This window comes from Homo sapiens, chromosome 15 (assembly GCF_000001405.40).
Source record: "Homo sapiens chromosome 15, GRCh38.p14 Primary Assembly".
In the NCBI taxonomy this organism is placed as follows: Eukaryota; Metazoa; Chordata; class Mammalia; order Primates; family Hominidae; genus Homo; species Homo sapiens.
In genome coordinates, this window is record NC_000015.10 from 83,608,641 (window position 1) to 83,632,789 (window position 24,149).

Below are 24,149 nucleotides of genomic sequence, written 5' to 3' on the forward strand. Positions count from 1 at the left end.
CCATGCTCCTGGCTCCATGCTTTCAAACACTCGGTGAGAGTTTGAAAATGAATTGGAACCAGAAATAAACCTGAAAGTTCCAAATTGGGTTTCTACCCGCCCCCCACTCCCCCCGCCCGCCCATGGTAGGAGATGAACTGTCTAGTCTGATGGTGCAGGTACAGTCAAACCTCAGGGTAACCTGGGTTCTGGGATCGAAGCTTCTAGGAGACTTGGGGTCCCATTCCTGACTGGGGCATGGACTCCCCTCATCAATGGTTACCTTCCTCTCTGTTCATCAGCTGCTCTACAAGTGGTGTAAGTAATAAGGGAACATGTTTGGATTTCCTGACTTCAGGCCAGGAAGTGAGCGGAATATAAGCCCACCCAGCCCAAAGGGGTGTTAACCTGCCTTGCTGGAAAGTGGGCTTTGGAGTCAGAGGGAAGCCCAGATCCTGGCTCAGTTCATACCTTTGGGTCTCAATTTCGTCATCTGACGAGTGCGGATTCTCATTGCTACCTCACAGGATTATTCTAAGGATTAAATTAGATCTTGTGAATTAGGGGTGCTGGGAAAGGGACTCGGTACAGAGTAGGAGCCCACAATGCAGCGCTGTTAATGTTACATAATCGGTTATCTGATTTCCCAGCCTACAGCAGACTGGAACCAGCAGATTAGGAAGGCCCAAGGGACTGCTTCGGGAAGGCCATTGACAGCAGGAAAAAGTGACAGGTCGCAGCCAGACTACAAGGGAGGCAAGAGAAAAACTATAAAAAGCAGGAACAAAAACACTCAAAAGACACAGCAGTCTGGGGGATTTACTAAAAGACAAAGAGCCCTACTCAGGTCAGTAGCTTCTGGGAGACTCCATACCTTGTACCCCAACAGGGACTTATGTTGACAGCGTTGTATGAATTACTTCTCTCTCCATCCCCTTTGCCCCTTGAAATAACTATGGGGGTGGGGTCATAGTTTGCCTTTCAGTGGGGATGCTCTGACCGAATGCTTCCAGGTCATGAAGTTCCCAAAGTCAAGGCCAGCAAAGGAGCAAGCACAGTGGGCTCCTTCGGTGGTCTGAAAAGAACCCAAGTTCCACAAAAGAGCTGTGAGTTTTAGTGCAACAGAGAGAAGGATGCCCCTTGCGCCACTGACCACTCTTTCCACCTTCACCTCCCTTAAAGTCAGGGTTAGAGATGGAGCCCTGGAGAACAGGCTTCCAGATCCTGGCATGTGGGAGAGAGAGAGAGAGAAAATGAGAAGGCCAGGCTGCAGACACGCCAGTCCCTTCTGATGCCATCTCTACTCTGGTGTCTAATCCACCACCTGGAGTGGGCACTGTTTTTAACTGAAGCCTGAGCTGCTCACTTTGAAGCTGGAACTCAGGCTGAAGAAGGCAGGACAGAGACTAAGTGCCTGGAAGTTATCCCTCAAGTGCGACAGGCAAGGCTAGGTGGGACCTGGACAGACCTTCCTGGGGATCTGCGTAGGATTTAGGTAGAGAATGCTCTTAGAGAGCCTTCAAAGGCCTGGGAGCATCCTGAGGTATGCTGAGCTGAGGACCCAAAGGCTCATTCCAAGCCCAGCTGATGGGCCACCCCATTGAATGGGATTGGCTCAGAAATGGTGTGGGAGAAGGCTGGGCGTGGTAGCTCATGCCTGTAATTCCATCACTTTGAGAGGCCAAAGCAGGAGGATCACTTAAGCCCTGAAGTTTGAGACCAGCCTGGGCAACATAGTGAGACCCCACCTCTATAGAAAATACCAAAATTATCCGGGCATGATGGTGCCTGTAGTCCCAGGTACTCAGGAGGCTAAGGTGGAAGGATTGCTTGAGCCCAGGAGGTCAAGGCTGCAGGCCAATAGCAGGGCACTGTACTGCAGCTCGAGGAACAGAGCAAGACAGTCTCAAAAAAGAAAAAAGGAAAAGGAAAAGAGAAAAGAAAGAAAAAGAAAAAGAGTGGGGATAAGACCACAAACTAACAATTTTCAGGGGGTATATTGCATAGGGATCAAGAACGTGGACTCTCTACCTGGCCCGAGGTCAAGTCTCAGTGTTGTGGCTTAATTGTGTTAAATTTGTGTCCTCAATTTCTCCATCCCTCACATTGGGGGAAATAGTGGTACCTACTCATAGGATTTCTCTGGGAATTAAATCCATAAATCCACTAATATCTCTGAGACACTTAAAATATTGTCCTGGCACATGGTAAACACTAACACCTGAGAGTTATTATTTCGTCCCTGTAGCTGAGTAGGGCTGAGGAATTGTAGGATTGGACCGCCTCTACCTTAATAAAATGTGCTCAGCATTTCTGCATATGCAAGTAACCCTTTGCAGCAGCAGGGACTTCAGCCAAAAAATATATATATATATATATAATATGTATGTGTGTGTGTATAAATGTATGTGTGTGTGTCTATATATATATATAGAGACAAAATAAGTGGAGTTGGGGGAGGGGCACCGCAAATAATGTTCCTGCTGTTAAAATAAGAGGGACTGAACCATATTAATGCCAAGGGGGAAGTTCAGTTTATTTCAGGGGGGACGTGGTTTTCCTACCTCCTACTGTGTTACTGATACAGTACTTACTGACCAGCCGTCTTAAACTCTTGTGGTAGGGTCTCTCTCTCTCTCTCTCTCTTTCTCTTTTTCCTAATGGTGTGGAACAGAGCTTGAATAATAAATATTTAACAGGGACACTCCCTTTTCTCTGTTAAAATAATCTTTGTTTCAATACTTTAACAAGGAAGACTGTGTTTTCCCACCTCTGCTCTCACGTTTCGTTGAAGCCAGGTCTCAGGAGTAAGAGAAAATCAACACAAGGCCACTTGGGGAGGGCAGTGCTGGCTGAAGCCGTCTCACTGGACAGCCCAGGGTCAGGGGTTTCAGCCGCCTGTTCAAGGACACCGAGATCCACAGCAGCCACCTGGGAGCTCCTACACAACTATGCCCAGCGATTCCAGGTGCCAGCTACTGAATGTGAGAGAGCAAGGAGGTGGAGGTGGATGAGGAACTGCCAGCTGCAGGACCACAGGGGCAAGGGGAAGGGGTTGTCAACAGGGATGGGACGCTGGGTAGGATCAGTCTTTTCTTACGAGACGTTTTCAGCTGAGGTGCTGGCTTCTGATGGTGGGAAACCAAGCATTCAGGTCCCTTGGAGAGGCTTATATCTAACAGTTGGAAAGCCTCCATTGAGGAAATCCAGCCCATTCTGCCTGGACTTTGGGGCTCCATCCATGGTGACTTTTGTGTCAAGGGAAAATTCACACACTGTCCCTCAGGCGGGCAGCAACTTAATTTCTCTTTAGCTGAACTGAACTTGCTTGCAAGCCTCTATGTAGACCAATGGCGGAAACAACTTAATCTTTTTTCCATTTCTGTTGTTGACCAAAAAAAAAAAAAAGCTTTAAAATCTTTTTTCCATTTCTTCTAATGGTGGAAAAAAGCATAATCTTGCCATTTCAAGGTAGCTCAGTCTCTTCCAATAGAAAGCATAGACTATCCGTTTATGACTTAGGCGATTCCAGATTTAAACACAGTCAATTCAGAGTAGAAATTCCCTATCAGGGCTGTTGGTTTTTCTTGAAGGTTCTCTCCTCCCCCTGGTCCAGTCCTAAGATGTTGCCTAGATGTGAGGGGGGTTTACAGAACATCATGGTGGCAGGTAGGGAGGCTCACTTCCACAGCTGAGGTGACTCGTCACAGGAGGCCTGGGGCCTGGGCCAGGATCTGTGCTGACATCTGTGGCTTAGGCCTCCCTCTCTGGGTTGCTGAATCTCTGTATTTGGAGCCGTGTGTCACTGCCCCCAGGCAGCCTCTGGCCTCAGTGGCCCCTCAGCACTTCCTGCTGGGGACTTGAGGGAATTTGTTCACAGTTCACAGGGAGCGACCAGCCTTCAGGCCCCATCTGTACTTAGTGACACCACATGGTTTCCACTGGGCTCCAGCCCCCGTGTTAGTCCAGAGAACTTTGACAGCTGCCTTCTCCCGGGATTTCTGTGGAAAGTGGAGTCTAAGACCCCCTTCCCCAGGGTGGCATCCAAGGAGCATTTCAATTTTCTTGCTCACCCTCTTCTCACTGCAGGCCCCTTCCCTGCTTCCCTGCCTCCAGAAAGAGCTTGTATCTCTTCTCTGGATGGCAGGAAACAGCTCCTCCCTCTCCATGGCTTGTAATCAAAATGCTAGGCTCTGAGTTCTTCAAGCTCTAGTTCTTGGAACCCAGAAGTTTCTCTCTCTCTCTCGCTCTTAAATCTTATAAAAGCCTACCTGGCTCTAGCATGAAAGCCTAAAAGCCTTGGCTTTCACAATGTTTCACAACTGAAATGGTATTATTTGGGAATTTAAAAGCTAAACATTGACTGCTTTGTTCATGTCTGGGTTCCACCCTCCTCCTCAAGTAAGGGAGGCAAGCCCCAGCTCCTTGGGTTGAGGGCCCCAGGCAACAGAAATGACCCAGAATGAAAAATGCATTGATACTTCAGAATATCGTCCGGCTGCATGTATAATTCAGGGCAGCCAGTCTGAGCTCTGGTTGGGGTGGATTTACCAACTGCCTACTTAGCAAGTGCCAATTGCTCTTAGTGTTGTAGCCAGCCCAGTGGTGGCTGGAGGGCCAGGTGCACTTGTACTGCCTGAGTCAGGGAGTTCTTGAACAGGGTCTTTCTACTCAGTGGTCTCTGGAGAGATGCCCTGCCTTGGGTTTAGGTGCTGATGGAGTGTGATATGAGTGCTGGTCTCTTTCCAGCTCTCAGAATATCAAAGTGGGCAATGTGGCAGTGGTTCCTTGCCAAGAATGAATGACATGAGAAGTGAGTAATGCAGCTTTTCCATGATTTGTTCTGTGTGTGTGTGCAGCAAGAACCCAGGTTTACACATGGAGGTGGTGGCCTGGTTTACACATGGAGGTGGTGCATACACTTGGACAAATGTATGCTTGCCACTAAGCATTTTGGTCATTGCAGGTGGCTTATAGAGTAAATGGGAGGGAAATATATAAATCTATCTATCTATCTATCTATCTATCTATCTATCTATCTATCTATCTATCTATCATTAGCCCTGTAATCAGTGTGTCAGCCTATGAAATGTCTTGGCAACCCTTAGTGGTGTCATAGATCATGTACGAGGTGACATGGAGCAAGGTAGCTGATGGCCTAGGGTCTGGAGCCCTCCTGTTTCTGGCTCAGCCAGTAGCCCTGGGGCCAGGCCATTATGACCTCTCAGAGGCATTGATGGCTTCTCTTGGAAAAGGAGAGGACTCATGGAGGACTGCCAAATTCCATTCTAGCATTAACATTCTGTGTTCAAGGAAATGCTTCCCGAGACTACCATGTGGTTTGGCACCTGACCCCTTCTCTGTTAAAAACTAGTCTAGTAGTGGGAGAAATGCTAAAAGAATAATAATTATTTTTATAATCCACATTAAAACAGTTATACATTAATAAAGTAGACTTTGACTCACAGCTCAGGTTGCCCTTGGTTTTCAGTGCTCAGCCCCCACCTGCCCACCCATATACACACTCCATGACCCAAGGAAAATGAAAAGTTCTGTATTGTAAGCCCTCTATTCCCCATGCTTTGTTTGAAATCATTGAATGTTGTTCTGTTCAAATTCAAAATAGTGAACTAATCCCCAATATTTACAGCCTTCCACCCCCTAGCTTTCATCATTATGACAAGAGGAATACACAGACTTAGGCAGGGGTGGGGTCTGTCACGGAAGGAGCTGTCTAGAGGCTAGAAACATCATGTAGATCATAGAGGTTATATTGCAGGTGGGTTCAGAGTTTCAAAGTCACGACCCAGTACAGGAGCTGCCTCCCTGAAGAGGAAGAAGAGCTCCCCTACCATTACCCCCTTCTCTTTCCTCGCCAGCTGAGTCTCTTTAACCTTTAACGCTTCCTTAGGGGAAGGAGAGGGGAGGATCATTTCACTGGTGGTTGTCAACCTACCCTGGACATAGGAAGGACCTGAGAAACAAAAAATACTGATGCCGGGTTCACCCTGGGCAGTGGGCTGTTTAGTGTGCCACCAAGTTGAGAACCACTGCCATAGGAAGGCAACAGGAAGCCACCTTGGTACAACCTGGGGAGCTCCGCTGATGAAGGCTCCTTAGAGTGCCCTGTTCCTTAGAGATATAGGCGCTACTCCATGAATTTCAAGCTGTCTAAACAACTATAATATAATCCTTCTCACAACAGGAATCTCCATTGCCCCAACTCTTGTCTTCCTCCTCCCATAATGCTGTCACCTCTCTACCCCTCCCCAGGACAAAGGGGCATCTCATTTGGCCAGCCACAGAAATACCCCAACGTACCTATTCTCTTTACTTGGACCTAGAAGACTTAGTGGAGAAAGAACATAATCTCTAGCAGAACTTGTTCAATTCTCACTTGAAGTCTAGAGGGAGGAAAAAGTCTTATAACAGAAAAAGGAAATAAAAATGGAAATCATCAAATAGGATGGCAAAAGTCACTTATTAAGAAAAAAAAAAACTCCTAAGATTAATCTTATTAATACTCAAAGAAAAAAAGTATGAACTAGTCAAAATTGAAGTGAGATTTTTGTGAGAGAAATGTGTCATATTAATACTGAAATATACCTAGTTAAATGAATTCATGAGAATAGCAAGGAAATATTGAAATAGAAGGGTAATGACTATGAACTAGTTTTACTAGTTATTAACATTTTATTTATTTATTTATTTTTGAGATGGAGTCTCACTCTGTCACCCAGGCTGGAGTGTAGTGGTGTGATCTCAGCTCACTGCAACCTCCGCCTCCCAGGTTCAAGTGATCCTCCTGCCTCAGCCTCTTGAGTAGCTGGGATTACAGACATGCGCTACCATGCCTGGCTAACTTTTGTATTTTTAGAGATGGGGTTTCACCATGTTGGCCAGGGTGGTCTCAAACTCCTGGCCTCAAGTGAACTGCCCGCCTTGGCCTCCCAGAGTGCTGGGATTACAGGTGTGAGCCACCACACCCGGCCTGTTAACATTTATTATAAAGCCACAGTATTTAAAATGATATGGTACTGTTACCAAAATGAGTCAGTGGGACAAAATAGAAAAAATCCAAAAATAGATCTAAGTCCCATGATGATTAAATATATGATAAAGATAAAGGCAATACTTGAAATCACTGGAGAAAATATGGATTATTTAAGTATGTTGTTATGACTGCATAAGCATTATTAAATATAATAGATATTTACCTCATTTTGCCAAAATCCAAATAGATTATAAAAGTTCTGATGTGAAAAAAATTAAATAAAAATACTAGAATAAAATTTAGTTGAGTCTTTATATAGGACTGTGGAGAATAAACCATGAATAGAAAGTTTGATTAGTTTGACTGCTTATACTCTTCAATTTGTGCATTCATGCCAAAACAAAATAGAAACCCCTTTCCCTGCCCCACTGCCAGCACAAACTTCAAAAACAAAATGAGAAAAAAAAAGAACAGATGATAAGTTGGGAATAATGTTTGTACCAGAAATGACAGATAAAGGGTAAATATGTGTAGTATAAAGGGACTTCTAAACATCTTAAGAAAAATAGTGATATTAGGTTGGTGCAAAAGTAATTGCAGGTTTTGCCACTAAAAGTAATGGTAAAAATTGTGATTGCTTTTTTTTTTTTTTTTTTTGAGATGGAGTCTTGCTCTGTCCCCCAGGCTGGAGTGCGGTGGCGCGATCTTGGCTCACTGCAACCTCCGCCTTCCGGGTTCACGCCATTCTCCTGCCTCAGCCTCTCCAAGTAGCTGGGACTACAGGTGCCCGCCACCACGCCCGGCTAATTTTTTTGTATTTTTAGTAGAGACAGGGTTTCACTGTGTTCTCGATCTCCTGAACTCGTGATCCGCCCGCCTCAGCCTCCCAAAGTGCTGGGATTACAAGCGTGAGCCACTGCGCCTGGCCACTGTGATTGCTTTTGCACCAACCTAATAGAAAAATAAATTGACACTAAATGTCAGATATTTTAGAAAGAATTCATGTTCTATGACCATGAAATCCTTTTCTTGGAATTTATCCTCAGAAATTAATAGTGCACATTTGTAGATATTTATGTATAAGCTCTTTTTCCCAAAGAATTGTCTATAAAAGCCAAGGGGGAATAAAAGAGACAACAGAAAGAAATGAAGAAAAAGGAAGAGAAATCGAGAAAAACAGGGAGGGAGAAGGAAGAAAAGAATGAAGGAAGGAAGGAAAAGAAGAGATGAAAAGAAGAGAAGGAAGGAAAAGAAAGAAGAACCGTAAATGTCCAACAATAGGAGATTAGTTGAAGAAATGTTACATTGTGAGAGCTGACAGCTAGTCAGTAACTAAAATTGAAAGATATTCACCCTAGCTTGTACAAGAAGAATCTTTTATGAAAACAACTATATGTAAATATATGCACAAATATAATCATGAAGACATCTGGAATCTGAAAGCTAGCCCAGTTATCTCTGGGGTAATGGTTTACAGCTCTGACTTTTCTTTCTCCACTTTGCATACATGTATTTTTTGTTTACAATTAGCATGATTTTGTTTTGAAAAAAATGTTTTTGATGTTATTCTGGGACTAGATGTCAGTAAATATTCTTGTCTGTAAATTCTGGTCTGTAAATATTCTTGCCTTTCTTGTCCTGGTTTCTCTCCTCCCGGCCCTTGTCCTGCCCATTAACTAGGAAGATCTTGCTGACCACCAAGGTCCTCCCTACTACCCTCTCCCCAGAGCTCCTGAACCATGAGTGATACACACTTCATATTTGTTCTTTAAAAGATTTTTGGCCATGCACAGTGGATCACGCCTGTAATCCCCACACTTTGGGAGGTTGAGGTGAGCAGATCACTTAAGGCCAGGAGTTCGAGACCAGACTGGCCAATATGGTGAAACCCCACCTGTACTAAAAATACAAAATTAGCTGGGCGTGGTGGCGCATGCCTGTAGTCCCAGCTGCTTGGGAGGCTGAGGCACGAAAATTTCTTGAACCTGGGAGGCAGAGGTTACAGTAAGCCAGGATCGCACCATTGCACTCCAGCCTGGGCAACAGAGCAAGACTCTGTCTCAAAAATAGATAAATAAATAAATAAAAGTTTCTCGTGTATTTTCTAATCCCCACAAAGAAACTGTAAGCTCCCAGAGAGAAGGAGGTGGGCCTGTGATTCCTCTGTCGCTCCCTTAGGGCTCCAGGTGGAGCTGACTGGCTGCTTTTGGGAGATGGGCTGGGCACGACTTCTCTGCCTGGGAGTATTGAAAAGATAGACTCTGGGCTCATGGGGTTGGCGCAGGCAGCTGGGAGAGCTGAGGCAGCCAGAGACCACAAACGGCACCGTGAGCTGGGTGGAGCTGGCCTTGTGGGAAGGAAGCAAGGCCTGCTGTTAAGGGTCTCTCTGAGCTTTTCCACATTTCCAATTTCCCATGGATAATCCATCATGTTCATCTGTACTTTTTGTCTCCATATCATGTGGACAGGTTCTAACATTCCCATGGACCAGCCCTGCTGTCGTGGTCTCTATGACTTTGAGCCAGAAAACCAAGGAGAATTAGGATTTAAAGAAGGGGACATCATTACATTAACCAATCAAATAGATGAAAACTGGTATGAAGGAATGATACACGGAGAATCGGGATTCTTCCCCATTAATTACGTGGAAGTGATCGTGCCTTTACCTCAGTAAATGTGTAACACAAACTCTGGACATACTTTCGTAACTGAAATGAATTCACACCAGTGTGCTCTCAGTGCGGTGTTCTGTGACATCCTTTGCTCTCTGACCAACTTAATGACTTTTGTATGTGTGCTCTCTTTATAATGTATTTTATATCACTTTAATTTGTATAAATGATTTTCTTGTCCTTGCTACATGAAAATATTTTCTTTTTTGCTTCCTGTCCTAAAAGTCATTGGTTAAATGTATTTGCTTCCTGTGGCTAAAAATAAGTCTCACCCATTGCAGTTATGTCAACGAATGGCCTATATTCCTCAGCTGCAATGAAATGGTAACATTTGAAACTAAGAAATGCTAAATATTTTGTTTCTCGACATTCCTGATGACGTCTGGTCTTTTCTTTTCATTGTATTTTAAGCTTACCTGTGAATAGCCCAATAAACATGACACACTGTGTTGGCAAAAGGCCTTGGTTATTTTTAATGTTGAATTGTTGATTTTTAAGCACAGTCTTCCAGCTGCAAACTCACACCCCATGGCCAACCGAAGTGTCACAGCGCAGATGCTTAGATGATGCCTCCTGATGGGAGCCTTCGCTTTCCACCTGATTCAAACATGACACGAATCCTCCTTCCAGCTGGGGGATGGAAAGCCCTTCTACTTACCTTCAAGTTTATTTATAAAAGACCCCAAATCAAGCTTCTGCTGCTGCCATATTTTGGATAGGTTTTTCAGAAAGTTGTGTTATGGGTGCTCAGGAAGTAGTGTGGTCAAGAGTTGATTGAGTCCCCAATAACATCCTCTTAGGCTCAGTGAACCAGCCCCTGGCCTTGCCTACAGTACGCACTAGTTACATGCTTTGGCCCACTGGAGTCTACAATCCTATTATGTGAAGGGGCAGGTATTATTTCCCATTTGAAAAGAAGGAGCCTCATTGACTGACTTACCTAGGATCAAACGACCACATACAGACACACCTCAGAGATATTGCAGGTTCTGTTCCTGGCTACTTACTGCAATAAAGCAAATATTGCAATAAAACAAGTCACACAAATTCTGGGGGTTTCCCAGTGTATAGAAAAGTTGTGCTTACACATAGACACGAGGAGGGGAACAACACACACTGGGGCCTGTTGCTGGGGGAGGGGAGGAGGGAGAGCATCAGGAACATAGCTAATGCGTGTCGGGCTTAATACCTAGGCGATGGGTTGGTAGGTGCAGCAAATCACAATGGCACACATTTACCTATGTAACAAACCTGCACATCCTGCACATGTACCCTGGTACTTAAGAAGAGTTGTGTTTACACTATGCTGTAGTCTATTAAATGGGTAGGAGCATATGTCTTAAAAAAACAAACTACACACCTTAATTTAAAATACTTTACTACTAAAAAATGCTAATGATTATCTGAGCCTTCAGCAAGGGGTAATATTTTTGCTGCTGGAAGTTCTTGATATTGATAGCCACTGACTGATCAGGGTGGGGTTGCTGAAGGTTGGGGTGTCTGTGGCAATTTCTTAAAATAAGACAACACTGAAGTTTGCTGTATGGGTTGACTCTTCCTTTCACAAAAGATTTCTCTGTCACATGCAATGCTGCTTGATAGCATTTTACACACAGAACTTCTTTCAAAATTTGAGTCAGTCCTCTCATCCTACCACTGCTTTATCAAGTTTATGTAATATTCTAAATCCTTTGTTGCCATTACAATAATGTTCACAGCATCTTCACCAAGAGTAGATTCTATCTCAAGAAATCATTTTCTTTGTTCAACTGTAAGAAGCAATTCCTCATCTATTCAAGCTTTTTTACGAGATTGCAGGAATTCAGTCACATCTTCAGTCTCCACTTCTAATTCTAGTTCTCCTGTTATTTCCACCACATCTGCAATTACTTTCTCCACTGAAGTCTTAAGCCCTTCAAAGTCATCCAAGAGGGTTGAAATCAACTTATTCTAAACTCCTGTTAATGTTGATATTTTGACTTCCTCCCATGAATCACAAATGTTCTTAAAGGCATCTAGAATACTGAGTCCTTTCCAGAAGGTTTTCACTTTACTTTGCCCAGATCCATCAATAGAATCACTAGTTATGGTAGCTGTAGCCTTACAAGATGTATTTCTTGAGTAATAGACTTGAAAATAGAAATTACTTCTTGATCCATGGGCTGAAGAATGGATGTTATGTTAGTAGGCATGAAAACAACATTCATCTCCTTGCATATCTCTATCAGAGCTCCTGGATGACAAGGTGCATTGTTAGCAGAGATATTGTGAAAGGAATCTTTTTCTCTGAACGGTAGATCTCAACAGTAGGCTTAAAATATTTAGTAAGCCATGCTATAAACAGACATACTGTCATCCAGGCTTTGTTCCATTTATAGAGCACAAGCAGAGCAGATTTAGCATCATTCTTAAGGACCCTAAAATTTTTGGAATGGTCAGTGCGCATTGGCTTCAATTTAAAGTCACTAGTTGTATTAACGCCTAACAGGTTAATCTGTCCTTTGAAGCATTGAAGCCAGAGATTGACTTCTCTAACTAGGAAAGTCACAGATGACATCTTCCCATGTAAGGCTATAGTTTACATTGAAAATCTGTTGTTTAGTTTAGCCAGCTTCATCAATAATCTTAGCTAGATCTTCTGGATAACTTACTTCTCCATCAGCACCTGCTGCTTCACCTTGCACATTTATGTTATGGAGGTGGCTTCTTAAACCTCATGAACCCACCCCTGCTAGCCTCAGACTTTTCTTAATGCAGCTTTCTCACCTCTCTCAACTCTGGATTAGGCTTTGGCTTCAGGTAATGCAGCTGGTTGATCATCAGACCACTCAAACTTTCTTCATATCAGCAAGAAATCTGCTTCACTTTCTTATCATTCATGTATTCACTGGAGCAGCACTTTTAATTTCCTTCAAGGACTTTTTCTTTGCATTCACGACTTAGCTAACTGAGGCAAGAGGCCTAACTTTCAGCCTACCCTGGCTTTCAATAAGCCTCCCTCACTAAGCTTAATCATTTCTAGCTTCTGATTTAAAGTGAGAGACCTGTGACTCTTCTTTCACTTGAACACTTAGAGGCCATTGTAGGGTTACTAATTGGCCTAATTTCAATATTGTTGTATCTCAGGAAATAGGGAAGCCTGAGGGGGGAATGGCCAGGCAGTGGAGCAGTCAAAACACACACAACATTTATCAGTCAGGTTCACCATCTTATATAGGCATTGTTTGTGGTGCCCCAAAACAGTTAAAATAGTAACATCAAAGATCACTGATCACAGATTAACATAACCGATATGATAATGAAAAAGTTTAATATATTGTAAGAATTACCAAAGTGTGACAGAGACAGAAAGCACATGCTGTTGAAAAAATAACGCCGATAAAAACGGTTACCGCAAACCTTCGAAGAGTTTACAAACCTTTCTAAAAATCACTATACCTGTGAAGTGCAATGAAAAGACGTAACCCTGTTGTGGCAGAGGCAGAGTTTGAAATCAGATTGCTGTACCTCACTGCACACTTAAGTGTTCACCCAAGTCACTTGGAAAGGCACTGCTGATCACTGACTTTTGTAACAAATGCCCGGAAGCCAGACTGATCACCTAAATCAGGTAACCTAAGCCAGGTTCCCCAGTCTTCTGATTCCACGGTACATCACTAAATTCACAACAATATGTTTTCCCTCCAGCCAGCTATACACACACACACACACCACTTCTCCAGAACAGTTTTACATTCAGTGTCTGTAATCAAATAATGATAATAATAATGGCTAACTCTTGTGTGCTTACTATGTGCCAGGTGCTGTTCCAAACATTTTACCTGAATAAACCCATTTAATTCTCATTAACGATCCTCTGAGGCAGACCTTATGCCCGTTTTTCAGATAAGGGAACAGAGATGCCATAACACTGAGTAACTTGTCCACAGTCATACAGTTAATCAAGTGGCAGAGCTAGGATTCTAATCCAGTCTCCCTCCCATGCCCACAGTCTTTGCTTTTCTGCTTTACTACATCCCACAATGTGTCTGTTCATGTATATTCACAAAGCAGCCCTTTTCCATCCTCCATCAGCTTTCATTCTCTAGATGTCACATTAGGAATTTACCAAAGGGCATCAGAACTGCAGACTATTCTCAATGCCCATAATATGCTTAGCTGTCTTGTTTGGTTAATACATAGTAAGTGAAGTTTATTGGGAGCTATAGATTCAACTTTAATGATAACAACAACAAAAAGGTTCAGCAATTTACATCGGATTACTGACATGGAATTGAAATGAGACTTGTGTCTGTTGACAGATAGCTGCCAAGGAGGAGATGCAAGGATCATGACCTGGCAGTGAGTTGAAATGGAAGTGTTTGTATGTACAGTGTTTCTTCCCTGGCTTGTGGCCTCAGCTATAGGGCAGGATGTTGTCTCTACAGAGTCTGCATCCAGATAGTGTCTCACACATGCTCAGGGAAAAATTGGGCCAGTTGCAACATGGCAGTAGCCACTGTCTTCCCTTCACCTGGCTCTAGTACTCCTAATTCCGTTATACCCTTGCACATCACTTCTTCTGGCATCGCCTCTCCTACTGGCCTCCTCTCCCTTCTGTTGGGCACAGACTGATGGTGCCCACAGGGCATTTCTCCCGAGGCAATGGAGACTTTGACCATCAAAGCGACACCATATTCTGTTGGGAAGTGCAGAACGCCCCTCCTGCTGCCTGCATTGCTTCCTGGAGATGGGATCCTAAAGCAAGTTTGTTTATCCTCTGCTATTTCCCCCAGACTAATAACAAATAATTCTATCAGTTCTGCCTTAAAAATGTCCTCAATATAGGTTTCAAGTGTGAGTCCAGATAGAAGCTAGACCAGAAAATGAATATGGAGGTAGATACCACCAAACCTTAACCCTTCTCTCATAAGATCGTGCTACTGTTTCAATTATGTATTGCCACATAATGCTGTGTAAAAGCCACCCCCCAAATCAGTGACTTAACCTATAATACATATTTACTCAGCTCACAAGTCTGCAAGTTGGTGATGTAGTCTGGGTAGCTCTTCAGGTCTCAGCTGGGCTCACTCACGGGACTGGGGGATAGTTGGCTGTTGGTTGGGGCTGCACAGGTCTGGAGGTTGGCTGGGCTGACTCAGTTCTGCTCCACATTCTCCCTCCAGCAGGCTAGCCTGGGCATGGTTTCATGGCGAAGGCAGAGCTGCAGGAGCACAGGTGGAAAGGCCAAAATGCTTTCTCAAGTCCCTGTTGACTATCTCACAGGCTGGGCCTGCTACCATCTCACAGGCTGCGCCTGCTACCATCTCGCAGGCTGGGCCCAGCATCGGAGTGGGAGGGTTTTTCAGCATTACATGGTAAAGGGTAAAGAAGTAGGGATATTAATGTATTGCAGTTCTAATATGAATAGCCATTAGCTATTCTTCCATCAAGCTTATCGCTCTGGCTTCCTCTTCCTTGAGGATATGTTCTTTTCTTCTGAGGTTCCTGTCCCTCAAACAAATAGGCTTTTTTTTTGAGATGGAGTTTTGATCTTGTCACCCAGGCTGGAGTGCAATGGCACAGTCTTGGCTCACTGCAACCTCCGCTTCCTGGGCTCAAGTGATTCTCCTGCCTCAGCCACCTGAGTAGCTGGGATTACACGTGCCCACCACCACACCCAGCTAATTTTTTGTATTTTTAGTGGAGACGGGGTTTCACCATGTTGGCCAGGCTGGTCTCGAACTCCTGACCTCAGGTGATCCGCCCACCTCGGCCTCCCAAAGTGCTGGGATTACAGGCCAAATAGGCTCCTGACAGGCACATCTTCCAAATCTACATATGTTGCCGGATGTGTTTGACCCTCAGTGTGGGCACTGCTTAGCTTCAAATTGGTATCTAATCCCTCAGCTTTGCACCCTCTTCTTCAATTCTCCTCTCTTGTTTTGCTATAGAGGCAAATAGATTGGGTCCCAGTAGACTCACCCAGTGTCTGTCCTAATGAGACTATGCCTGGCCCCAGTGTATAACTGGGTTTCATTCAAATCTCCCCCTACGGCACCGAGCAGGGCTAGCTACAGATCTGACCAATGAGCAACACCAGGGTTCAGCTCAAGGGGCTGATAGGGAGAGTGTGATCCTACTTGACGCAGGTGAAAGCGCAAAGAGCAGGAAGCGGGGATGAAAACCTATTCATATGAGAAACAACAAGAGACGAGCTAACGGGGACAAATATTAACATCAAGGTGAGTTGCAGAGGGCAGAAGCAGGACCATTAAAGAGATGTCAGAGCATAGAGTCAGGGGACTGATTGAGGACAAGTACAGTGAAGTGGGTCTAGTGTTTTAAGATGCTGAATTACTGGGCCTTTGACATAAAGATTCCTCTCTGCTTCAGAGGTAAGCCAAGGGCAGGGGTCTAGGAATAAAATATCTGGGATGTTAAGGCTCCTTGGGAGGCCAGGACTTTGAGACCAGGCTGGGCAACATTGTGAGATCCCATCCCTACAAAAAAGTTAAAAATTAGCCAGGCATGGTGGTGTGCAAGCAACAGTTGTTCTAACTTCTGGGATTGCTCTGGGACCAAGGAACCCTGGGAACCTTTGGACTTGGAGTGATTCAGGCCCGAAGTGTTCCTTTTAGGAGCCGCTTTTCATCTCCCACTCCACCTGAAGGAAGGATTTGTTATGTTCACTTCCTTAAGAAGAGAGCACCAGGCCAGGCACGGTGGCTTATGCCTGTAATCCTAGCACTTTGGGAGGCTGAGGCGGGTGGATTGTGAGGTCAGGAGTTCAAGACCAGCCTGGCCAAGATGGTGAAACCCCATCTCTACTAAAAATACAAAAATTAGCCGGGCATGGTGGCACACGCCTGTACTCCCAGCTACTTGGGAGGCTGAGGCAGCACATTCCCAGAGAAGCTGTGTTATTTACTTTATATGCATTTTCTTGTTTAATGTTCCTACTAACACTGTAAGTCAGGTTGTAATGTTTTTATTTGCAGGTGAAGAAATTGAGGCTTAGAGATGTTAAGCAACTTGATGAATATCAGAACTGTGCTCTGAAGGCCGTGCTATTTCTGTACCACTTTATCACTCTGTCATATTTACCTTTTTATAGTGTCTGTCCTGCATGTAACTTCTACTTTACCCACTGTAGAGGGAAACTATCAGCCACATTGTACACTGTGGCCCTACCCCACTGGCCACAGCTAATTGGACCAAGGACATGCAGCCAAACCAGAGAAGGCCAGTCAAATTCTTCCCCAGGAATTTAGAATTTTCCTTTCGCTGTTGTGGTTATATAATCATTCCAAGTTTGATTCCAGCATTTTTTCCCTCTGTTCTCTTTTACCTAGCTACCTAAATTTCAATTTTATATGTTATTTTTATAGCTTATCTACTGTTATTTTTTATTTTAAGTCATTTTATTGGGATTTTATCCATTTTTTTCTCCTCTTTAGGTATACGTAATGACTAATTTTAGCCTTTATTTCTATCACTTAAAATGTATTTTTCTTAAATTTTAAACTTATTTCTGTTGGAATTAATTTTTGTTGTTGTTGTTGTTGTTTGTTTGTTTGTTTTTTGAGATGGAGTCTTGCTCTGTCACCCAGGCTGGAGTGCAGTGGCATGATCTTGGCCCACTGCAACCTCTGCCTCCTGGGTTCAAACGATTCTCCTGTCTCAGCCTCCCGAGTAGCCGGGATTACAGGCACCCACCACCACACCCAGCTAATTTTTATATTTTTAGTAGAGACGGGGTTTCGCCATGTTGGCAGGCTGGTTTTGAACTCCTGACCTCAGGTGATCTGCCCGTGTTGGCCTCCCAAAGTGCTGAGATTACAGGCATGAGCTATCGCACCCAACCAATATTTTGTTTTTAAACACTGTGTGACTTTCACTTTTTTTCTTACCATTAAGAGGTCCCAGATTTTTCTTCTAAAGAGCTCCACTACCACAAGACTCCTGCTTCTCCCCATCTCCCACTAACTCTATCCCAGAGCACAAGAAGTAACAATCTGATTCAGTGGTTTAGAAAGAGCATCACATGCCAGCCAGTCACTTCCTCTCCTCTTCTTCTCTAGCTGCAGAGCTCATGTTCTGAATCACTCCTGACCACGCCATGACTTTAGTGATAAAGATTCTGCTCTGTGGGTCAAGCCAGGGGTGGTCTGAAGCCTTTTATGACTGGGTAGGTAAGTCTGCCTGTTTCTGAGCTTCAGAATACAGAAGCCCCTTTGCCTAGAGATCTGAGTCACATTTTCCAGTATTGGCTTCTCCAGGAATAAGATGATATTTTGGTTTCCAGATTTCTTATCTTTTGCCTTACTTCTCAGTTGGTTCTTAATTGGGGCCTTGTTAAATGTTAACGACTGGCATGTTTGTGCAGAAACTTTGACAATGAAGTAGGAGGGAATTCAGGGATTAGAGTAGCACTTGGTAGAGGCTCACAGTGGGACTAGGGCATGTGTTTTTGGACATTAGCATGTGGCACTTGTCTCTTTGTCCTTGACAGCTTTCTGTAATTTCCATTAAGGCCCACTTTGGAATAGCTTCTGTGTTCAGCTGTCAAACATGATACAAGTTGAGCAATTTTTACTCCCGCTATTGTGTTTTGTCAGTTAGGCCCATCAACAATTAGGGTATTTTTCTCCTCTGGATGATAAACACTGATTTTTATCCAGGTCTAAGGCAGGTTGATCCAGAAATATCATGACCTTTCCGTATCAACATTCCCTCTGTGGCTCTAATTCTCCCACATACTAATTATACTTATCAGTCCTGAAGATGCAGATTATAGCTTTACCTATAGAAATGTGGTGGACTTTATTATCAGATAAGAAGAAAAGGGGCTGGGCGCGGTGGCTCACACCTTGTAATCCCAGCACTTTGGGAGGCCGAGGCGGGCGGATCACGAGGTCAGCAGACAGAGACCATCCTGGCTAACACGGTGAAACCCCATCTCTACTAAAAATACAAAAAATTAGCTGGGCATGGTGGCGGGCACCTGTAGTCCAAGCTACTGGGGAGGCTGAGGCCGGAGAATGGGTTGAACCCGGGAGGCAGAGTTTGCAGTGAGCCGAGATTGCGCCACTGCACTCCAGACTGGGCAACAGAGCAAGATGCCGTCTCAAAAAAAAAAAAAAAAAGAAAAGAAAAGGGATGTTCTACTTAACTAGTAAAAAGGCTGTATTTCATATGTCCTAGTGTTGGAAATTAGGGTGACCCAAAAACTATTCAAGGATCTAAAGTAGAGACAGAAGCACTGCAGAATAGTTTAAATGGTTTCGATGAGTGGTTCTCAGATCTCCCTGTTCATTAGAATCTAGACAACTTTTTTTTTATGGTATGTCTGGTCCTAACCCCTACATTTTGATTGAATTTACTGGGGATAGGCTAGGGCCTTGGGCCTTGATATGTTTTTAAAGCCCCCAAATGATCCTAAGGTACATCCATGATTGAGAAAAAGTCTTTAGATAAACAGAGAATGGTGCCTTAGGCAATATTGGGCGATAAAATAGGGAAGTACTGACTGTGAGTGTCTTGTTCCAATAAAGCCACCCCTCTTTTTCATCTGAGTTTGAAACAAACTGAGGCATAAAACAAGGATTAGAACAAATGACAGCCAATATATGATCTGAGCTGTAAAATGTTAAGTTATAGTATGCTACTTAGGATGAGGGCCTATAGAATCTACTAAATGAACCCCAAAGTAATCAGATATACCTACCTATTCCAAAAATAGCTGAACTACCACAACCTCTTGCTACAGGGACAGAGCCTATAACATTGAGCTTACCACAGGGTTCAGGGCACTCAAACACACATTTTCTGCAGGCTGCCCAGCTTCTAAGTGGGAGAGGGGGCTGTGATACACATGCCCAGTTTCTAAGCCAACTCACAAGTCAGGTAATTCCATCCACCTATCCAACTAGCCAGAAATGTTTAGAGAAAATCCCTCCTTATAGAAACTAGAAGAATGGGAAGAGGTATTTCTCTAATTCTGGAGAATGAAGATGAGGAACATATAACACTTCAGAGAAGACTCAAGTTTTCAGAGGCCAAAATACACCTATATGAAAGGGAAAAAGGACTATATATAAGACATATTCTTTATAACTGCTTTTTAAGTTTACATCAATGTGATAAACCAAGAAAAAGCAATACATGGAGTAATGACTATAAAGCAAGAAATGGGCTGAGCGTGGTGGCTCACACCTGTAATCCCAGCATTTTGGGAGGCCAACGTAGGTGGATCACATGAGGTCAGGAGTCCGAGACCAGCCTGGCCAACATGGTGAAACCCTATTTCTACTAAAAGTACAAAAATCAGCTATGAGTGGTGGCAGGTGCCTGTAATCCCAGCTACTCAGGAAGCTGAGGCAGGAGAATTGCTTGAACCTGGGAGGTGGAGATTACAGTGAGCTGAGATCACGCCATTCACTGCCCTCTACCCTGGGTGACAGAGCGAGACTCAGTCTCAAAAACAAAAACAAAACAAAACAAAAGCAAGAAATAAAACTGTGTTTATGTGCAGAAAACAAGAGAGAATATGTAGAAAATCCCAAGAATCTGTAAAAAAAAACAACCAAAAAACTAATAGAACTTATAAGCAAATTTACCAAGGTCATGGGATAGAAAGTCAACATACAAAAATCAATTATGTTTCTATGTACCAGGAACAATTATTAAATATAGCATTTAATATTAAAACTATAAAAAGCAGTGCCATTTACAATGCCTTCAGAAAGTACAAAATACTTATAAAGTATTTTAACAAAAGATATGCAAGACTTTTATACTGAAAACTACAAAACATTGTATGTAAAAAATAAAGACCTAAATAAATGGAGTTATACCATATATTGTTAAACTATCCATTCGTGCTAAATTGATATATACATTCAATGTAATTCAAATAAAAATCCCAGCAGGGCTTTTTGTCAAAATTGACCAGCTTATTCTAAAATTATACAGAAATCCAAAAGTCCTAGAATAGCCAAAACAAAGAGAAGAACAAAGTTGGACAACTTATACTATCTGATGTGTAAAATAGAGTCATCAAATCACTGTGGAATTAGCATTATGTTACATAGTTCAGTGGAACCAAAGAGTCTAGAAATAGACTTACATGTAAAAGCATGGTCAATTTATTTCCAACAAAGGTACTGAGGTAATTCAGTGGGGAAATAAAAGTTGTTTTCTGCAAACTAAAAATAAACCTTGACCTTTACTTCACACCATACATAAAAATTATTTCAAAACGTATCATAGCCTGGGTGCAGTGGCTAATCCCTGTAAACCCAGCACTTTGGGAGTCCAAGGCAGGAGGATCACTTCAGGCCAGGAGTTCAAGACCAGGCTGGCCAATACAGTGAGATCCCATCCCTACAAAAAAGTTAAAAATTATCCAGGTACGGTGGCATGCACCTATAGTACTAGCTACTTAGGAGGCTTAGGTGGGAGGATCACTTGAGCCCAAGAGTTTGAGGCTACAGTGAGCTATAATCACAACACTACACTCCAGCCTGGATGCCAGAGCAAGACTCTGTCTTAAATAAATAAATAAATAAATAAAGTACCATAGACCTAGACATACAGGCTAAAACCTTAAAGCTTTTGGAAGAAAATATAGGTGATATGGTTTGGCTGTGTCCCCAGCCAAATCTCATGTTAAACTGTAGCTCCCATAATTTCCATATGTCATGGGAGGGACCCAGTGAGAGGTAATTGAATCGTAGGGGTGGGTCTTTCCCATGCTCTTCACATGATAGTAAATAAGTCTCACAAGATCTGATAGTTTTATAAAAAGAAGTTCCCCTGCACATGCACTCTGGCCTGCCACCATGTAAGACATGACTTTGCTCCTGATTTGCGTTCCGCCGTGATTGTGAGGCCTTCCCAGCCATGTGGAACTGTGAATCAATTAAACCTCTTTCCTTTATAAATTGCCCAGTCTCAGGTATGTCTTTATTAGCATGTGAGAATGGACTAATACAATAGGAAAATATCTTCATAATTTCTTAGGCCATAAAAAGCACTAACCCCAAAAGATAAAATTGATCAATTGGACTTCATTAAAATTAAACATTTTTGCTCCTCTAAAGAAAGATACATTAGAAAAATAAAAAGATAGACTAAAAAACATTCATAATACATATCTGTGACTGTATTAGTCTGTTCTCATGCTGCTGTAAATTACTGCCCAAGACTGGGTAATTTATAAAGGAAAGAGGTTTAATTGACTCACAGTTCCTGAGGGCTGGGGAGGCCTCAGGAAACTTACACTCATGGCAGAAGGGGAAGCAAACATGTCCTTCTTCACATGGCTGCAGGAAGAACTATGAGCAAAGCAGGGAGAAACCCCTTATAAAACCCCTTTAAAAAGTCAGATCCTGTGAGAACTCACCATCATGAGAACAGCATGAGGGTAACTGCCTCCATGATTCAATTACCTCCTACCCGGTCCCTCCCAAGACATGTGGGCAGTATGGGAACTACAATTCAAGATGAGATTTGGGCGGGGACATAGCCAAACCATACCATTCTGCCCCTGGCCCCCTCCCAAATCTCAAGTCTTCACAGCTCAAAACACAATCATGCCCTTCCAACAGTCCCCCAAAGTCTTAAGGCATTCCAGCATTAACTCAAAAGTCCAAGTCCAAAGTCTCATCTGAGACAAGGCAAGTCCCTTTCACCTATGATCCTGCAAAATAAAAAACAAGTTAGTTACTTCCTAGTAACTAACGGGTATAGGCATTGGGTAAATACACCTGTTCCAAATGGGATAAATAGGCCAAAACAAAGGGGCTACAGGACCCATGCAAGTCCAAAATCCAACAGGACAGTCATTAAACCTCAAAGTTCCAAAATGATCTCATTTGATTCCATGTCTCACATCCAAATCACACTGATGCAAGAGGTGGGCTCCCACAGCCTTGGGCAGCTCCATCCCTGTGGCTTTTCAGGTATAGCACCCCTCCTGGCTACTTTCACAGTTGGCATTGAGTGTCTGCAGCTTTTCCAGGTGCATGGTGCAAGCTGTCAGTGGATTCTGGAGTCTGAAGAATGGTGGTCCTCTTCTCACAGTTCCACTAAGCAGTGCCTCAGTGGGGACTCTGTGTGGGGGCTCCAGCTCCATGTTTCCCTTCTGCCCTGCCCTAGCAGAGGTTCTCCATGAGAGCCCCATCCCTGCAGCATACTTCTGCCTGGACAGCCAGGGGTTTCCATACATCCTCTGAAATCTAGGTGGAGGCTCCCAAACCTCAACTCTTGACTTCTGTGCACCCCAGGCCCAACACCATGTGTAAGCCACCAAGGGTTGGGGCTTGCACCCTCTGAAGCAACACCCTGAGCTGTACCTTGGCACCCTTTAGCCACAGCTGGAGCTGAAGCAGCTGGAACTCAGGGCATCATGGCCTGAGGCTGCATAGAGCCGGTTGGGGGCCCTGGGCCTAGCCCATGAAACCATTTCTCCCTCCTGGGCCTCTGGGCCTGTGATGGGCCTGTGATGGGAGGGGCTGCCATGAAGGTCTCTGACATGCCCTGGGGACATTTTCCCCATTGTCTTGGTGATTAACATTCGGCTCCTTATTGCTTATACAAATTTCTGAAGGTGGCTTGAATTTCTCCCCATAAAATGGATTTTTCTTTTCTATTGTATTGTCAGGCTGCAAAGTTTCCAAACTTTTATGCTCTGCTTCCTCTTGAACGCTTTGCCACTTAGAAATTTCTTCCACTAGATACACTAAATCATCTCTCTCAAGTTCAAAGTTCCACAGATCTCTAGGGCAGGGGTAAAATGCCACCAGTCTCTTTGCTAAAGCATAGCAAGAATCACCTTTATTTCAGTGCCCAAAAAGTTTCTCATCTCCAAGACCACCTCAGCCTGGACTTCATTGTCCATATCACTATCAGCATTTTGGTCAAAGCCATTCAGCAAGTCTCTAGGAAGTTCCAAACTTTCCCACATTTTCCTGTCATCTTCTGAGCCCTCCAAACTGTTCCAACCCCTGCCTGTTACCCAGTTCCAAAATTGCTTCCACATTTTTTGGTATTGTAAGTTGGCTGTTGTCTCTAGAGGTAATCTCCTGGTGGAAGAGGTTTCTGCTCTGGAGCTTCTAAGCACATCATTAGATAGCTTGCCCTGTAGGGGTGTGCAGAAGCACCCCACTCTCTGCAGTACCAATTTAATGTATTAGTCTATTCTCACACTGCTATAAAGAACTGCCAGAGACTGGATAATTTATAAAGGAAAGAGGTTTAGTTGACTCACATTTCCACAGGACTGGCAAAGCCTCAGGAAACTCACAATCATGGTGGAAGGGGAAGCAAACATGTCCTTCAAATGGTGGCAGGAAGGAGAAGTATGAGTGAAGGTCGGGGAAATCCCCTTATAAAACCATCAGATCTTGTGTGAACTCACTGTCATAAGAAAAGCATGAGGGTAAGCACCCCCATGATTCAATTACCTCCCACTGGGTCCCATGACATGTACGGATTATGGGAACTACAATTCAAGATGA

At 43.6% G+C, this 24,149-nt stretch overlaps 1 protein-coding gene across 21 annotated transcripts in view, besides 4 other annotated features; it reads left to right on the top strand.

Annotated features, from left to right (window-relative positions):
- SH3GL3 (SH3 domain containing GRB2 like 3, endophilin A3) overlaps positions 1 to 24,149 on the top strand; it is a 186,480-nt gene that overhangs the window by 161,300 nt on the left and 1,031 nt on the right. For 11 of the 21 annotated variants that reach the window (NR_136714.2, NM_001301109.2, XM_011521889.2 and 8 more), the window contains one exon: positions 9,442 to 10,103. Coding sequence is in view for 11 of the 21 variants with exons in the window: in NM_001301109.2 (NP_001288038.1) it covers positions 9,442 to 9,647 (206 nt within the window). In the remaining 10 variants the exon portion in view is untranslated. Of the gene's footprint in view, positions 1 to 629; positions 827 to 2,773; positions 2,948 to 9,441; positions 10,104 to 24,149 lie in introns of those variants that run through there. The other 10 variants (NR_136711.2, NR_136712.2, NR_125370.2 and 7 more) reach the window with 5 other exon arrangements.
- Positions 4,441 to 4,610: an enhancer, noted in NCBI's record as "experimental_41539 CRE fragment used in MPRA reporter constructs". NCBI's record gives its function as "activates a minimal promoter by MPRAs in K562 erythroleukemia cells, with activity observed for both the introgressed and non-introgressed 15:84281918 variant alleles {active_cell/tissue: K562}" and the evidence as "EXISTENCE:reporter gene assay evidence [ECO:0000049][PMID:34662402]".
- Positions 4,738 to 4,907: an enhancer, noted in NCBI's record as "experimental_41540 CRE fragment used in MPRA reporter constructs". NCBI's record gives its function as "activates a minimal promoter by MPRAs in K562 erythroleukemia cells, with activity observed for both the introgressed and non-introgressed 15:84282215 variant alleles {active_cell/tissue: K562}" and the evidence as "EXISTENCE:reporter gene assay evidence [ECO:0000049][PMID:34662402]".
- Positions 15,623 to 15,792: an enhancer, noted in NCBI's record as "experimental_41541 CRE fragment used in MPRA reporter constructs". NCBI's record gives its function as "activates a minimal promoter by MPRAs in K562 erythroleukemia cells, with activity observed for both the introgressed and non-introgressed 15:84293100 variant alleles {active_cell/tissue: K562}" and the evidence as "EXISTENCE:reporter gene assay evidence [ECO:0000049][PMID:34662402]".
- Positions 16,306 to 16,475: an enhancer, noted in NCBI's record as "experimental_41543 CRE fragment used in MPRA reporter constructs". NCBI's record gives its function as "activates a minimal promoter by MPRAs in K562 erythroleukemia cells, with activity observed for both the introgressed and non-introgressed 15:84293783 variant alleles {active_cell/tissue: K562}" and the evidence as "EXISTENCE:reporter gene assay evidence [ECO:0000049][PMID:34662402]".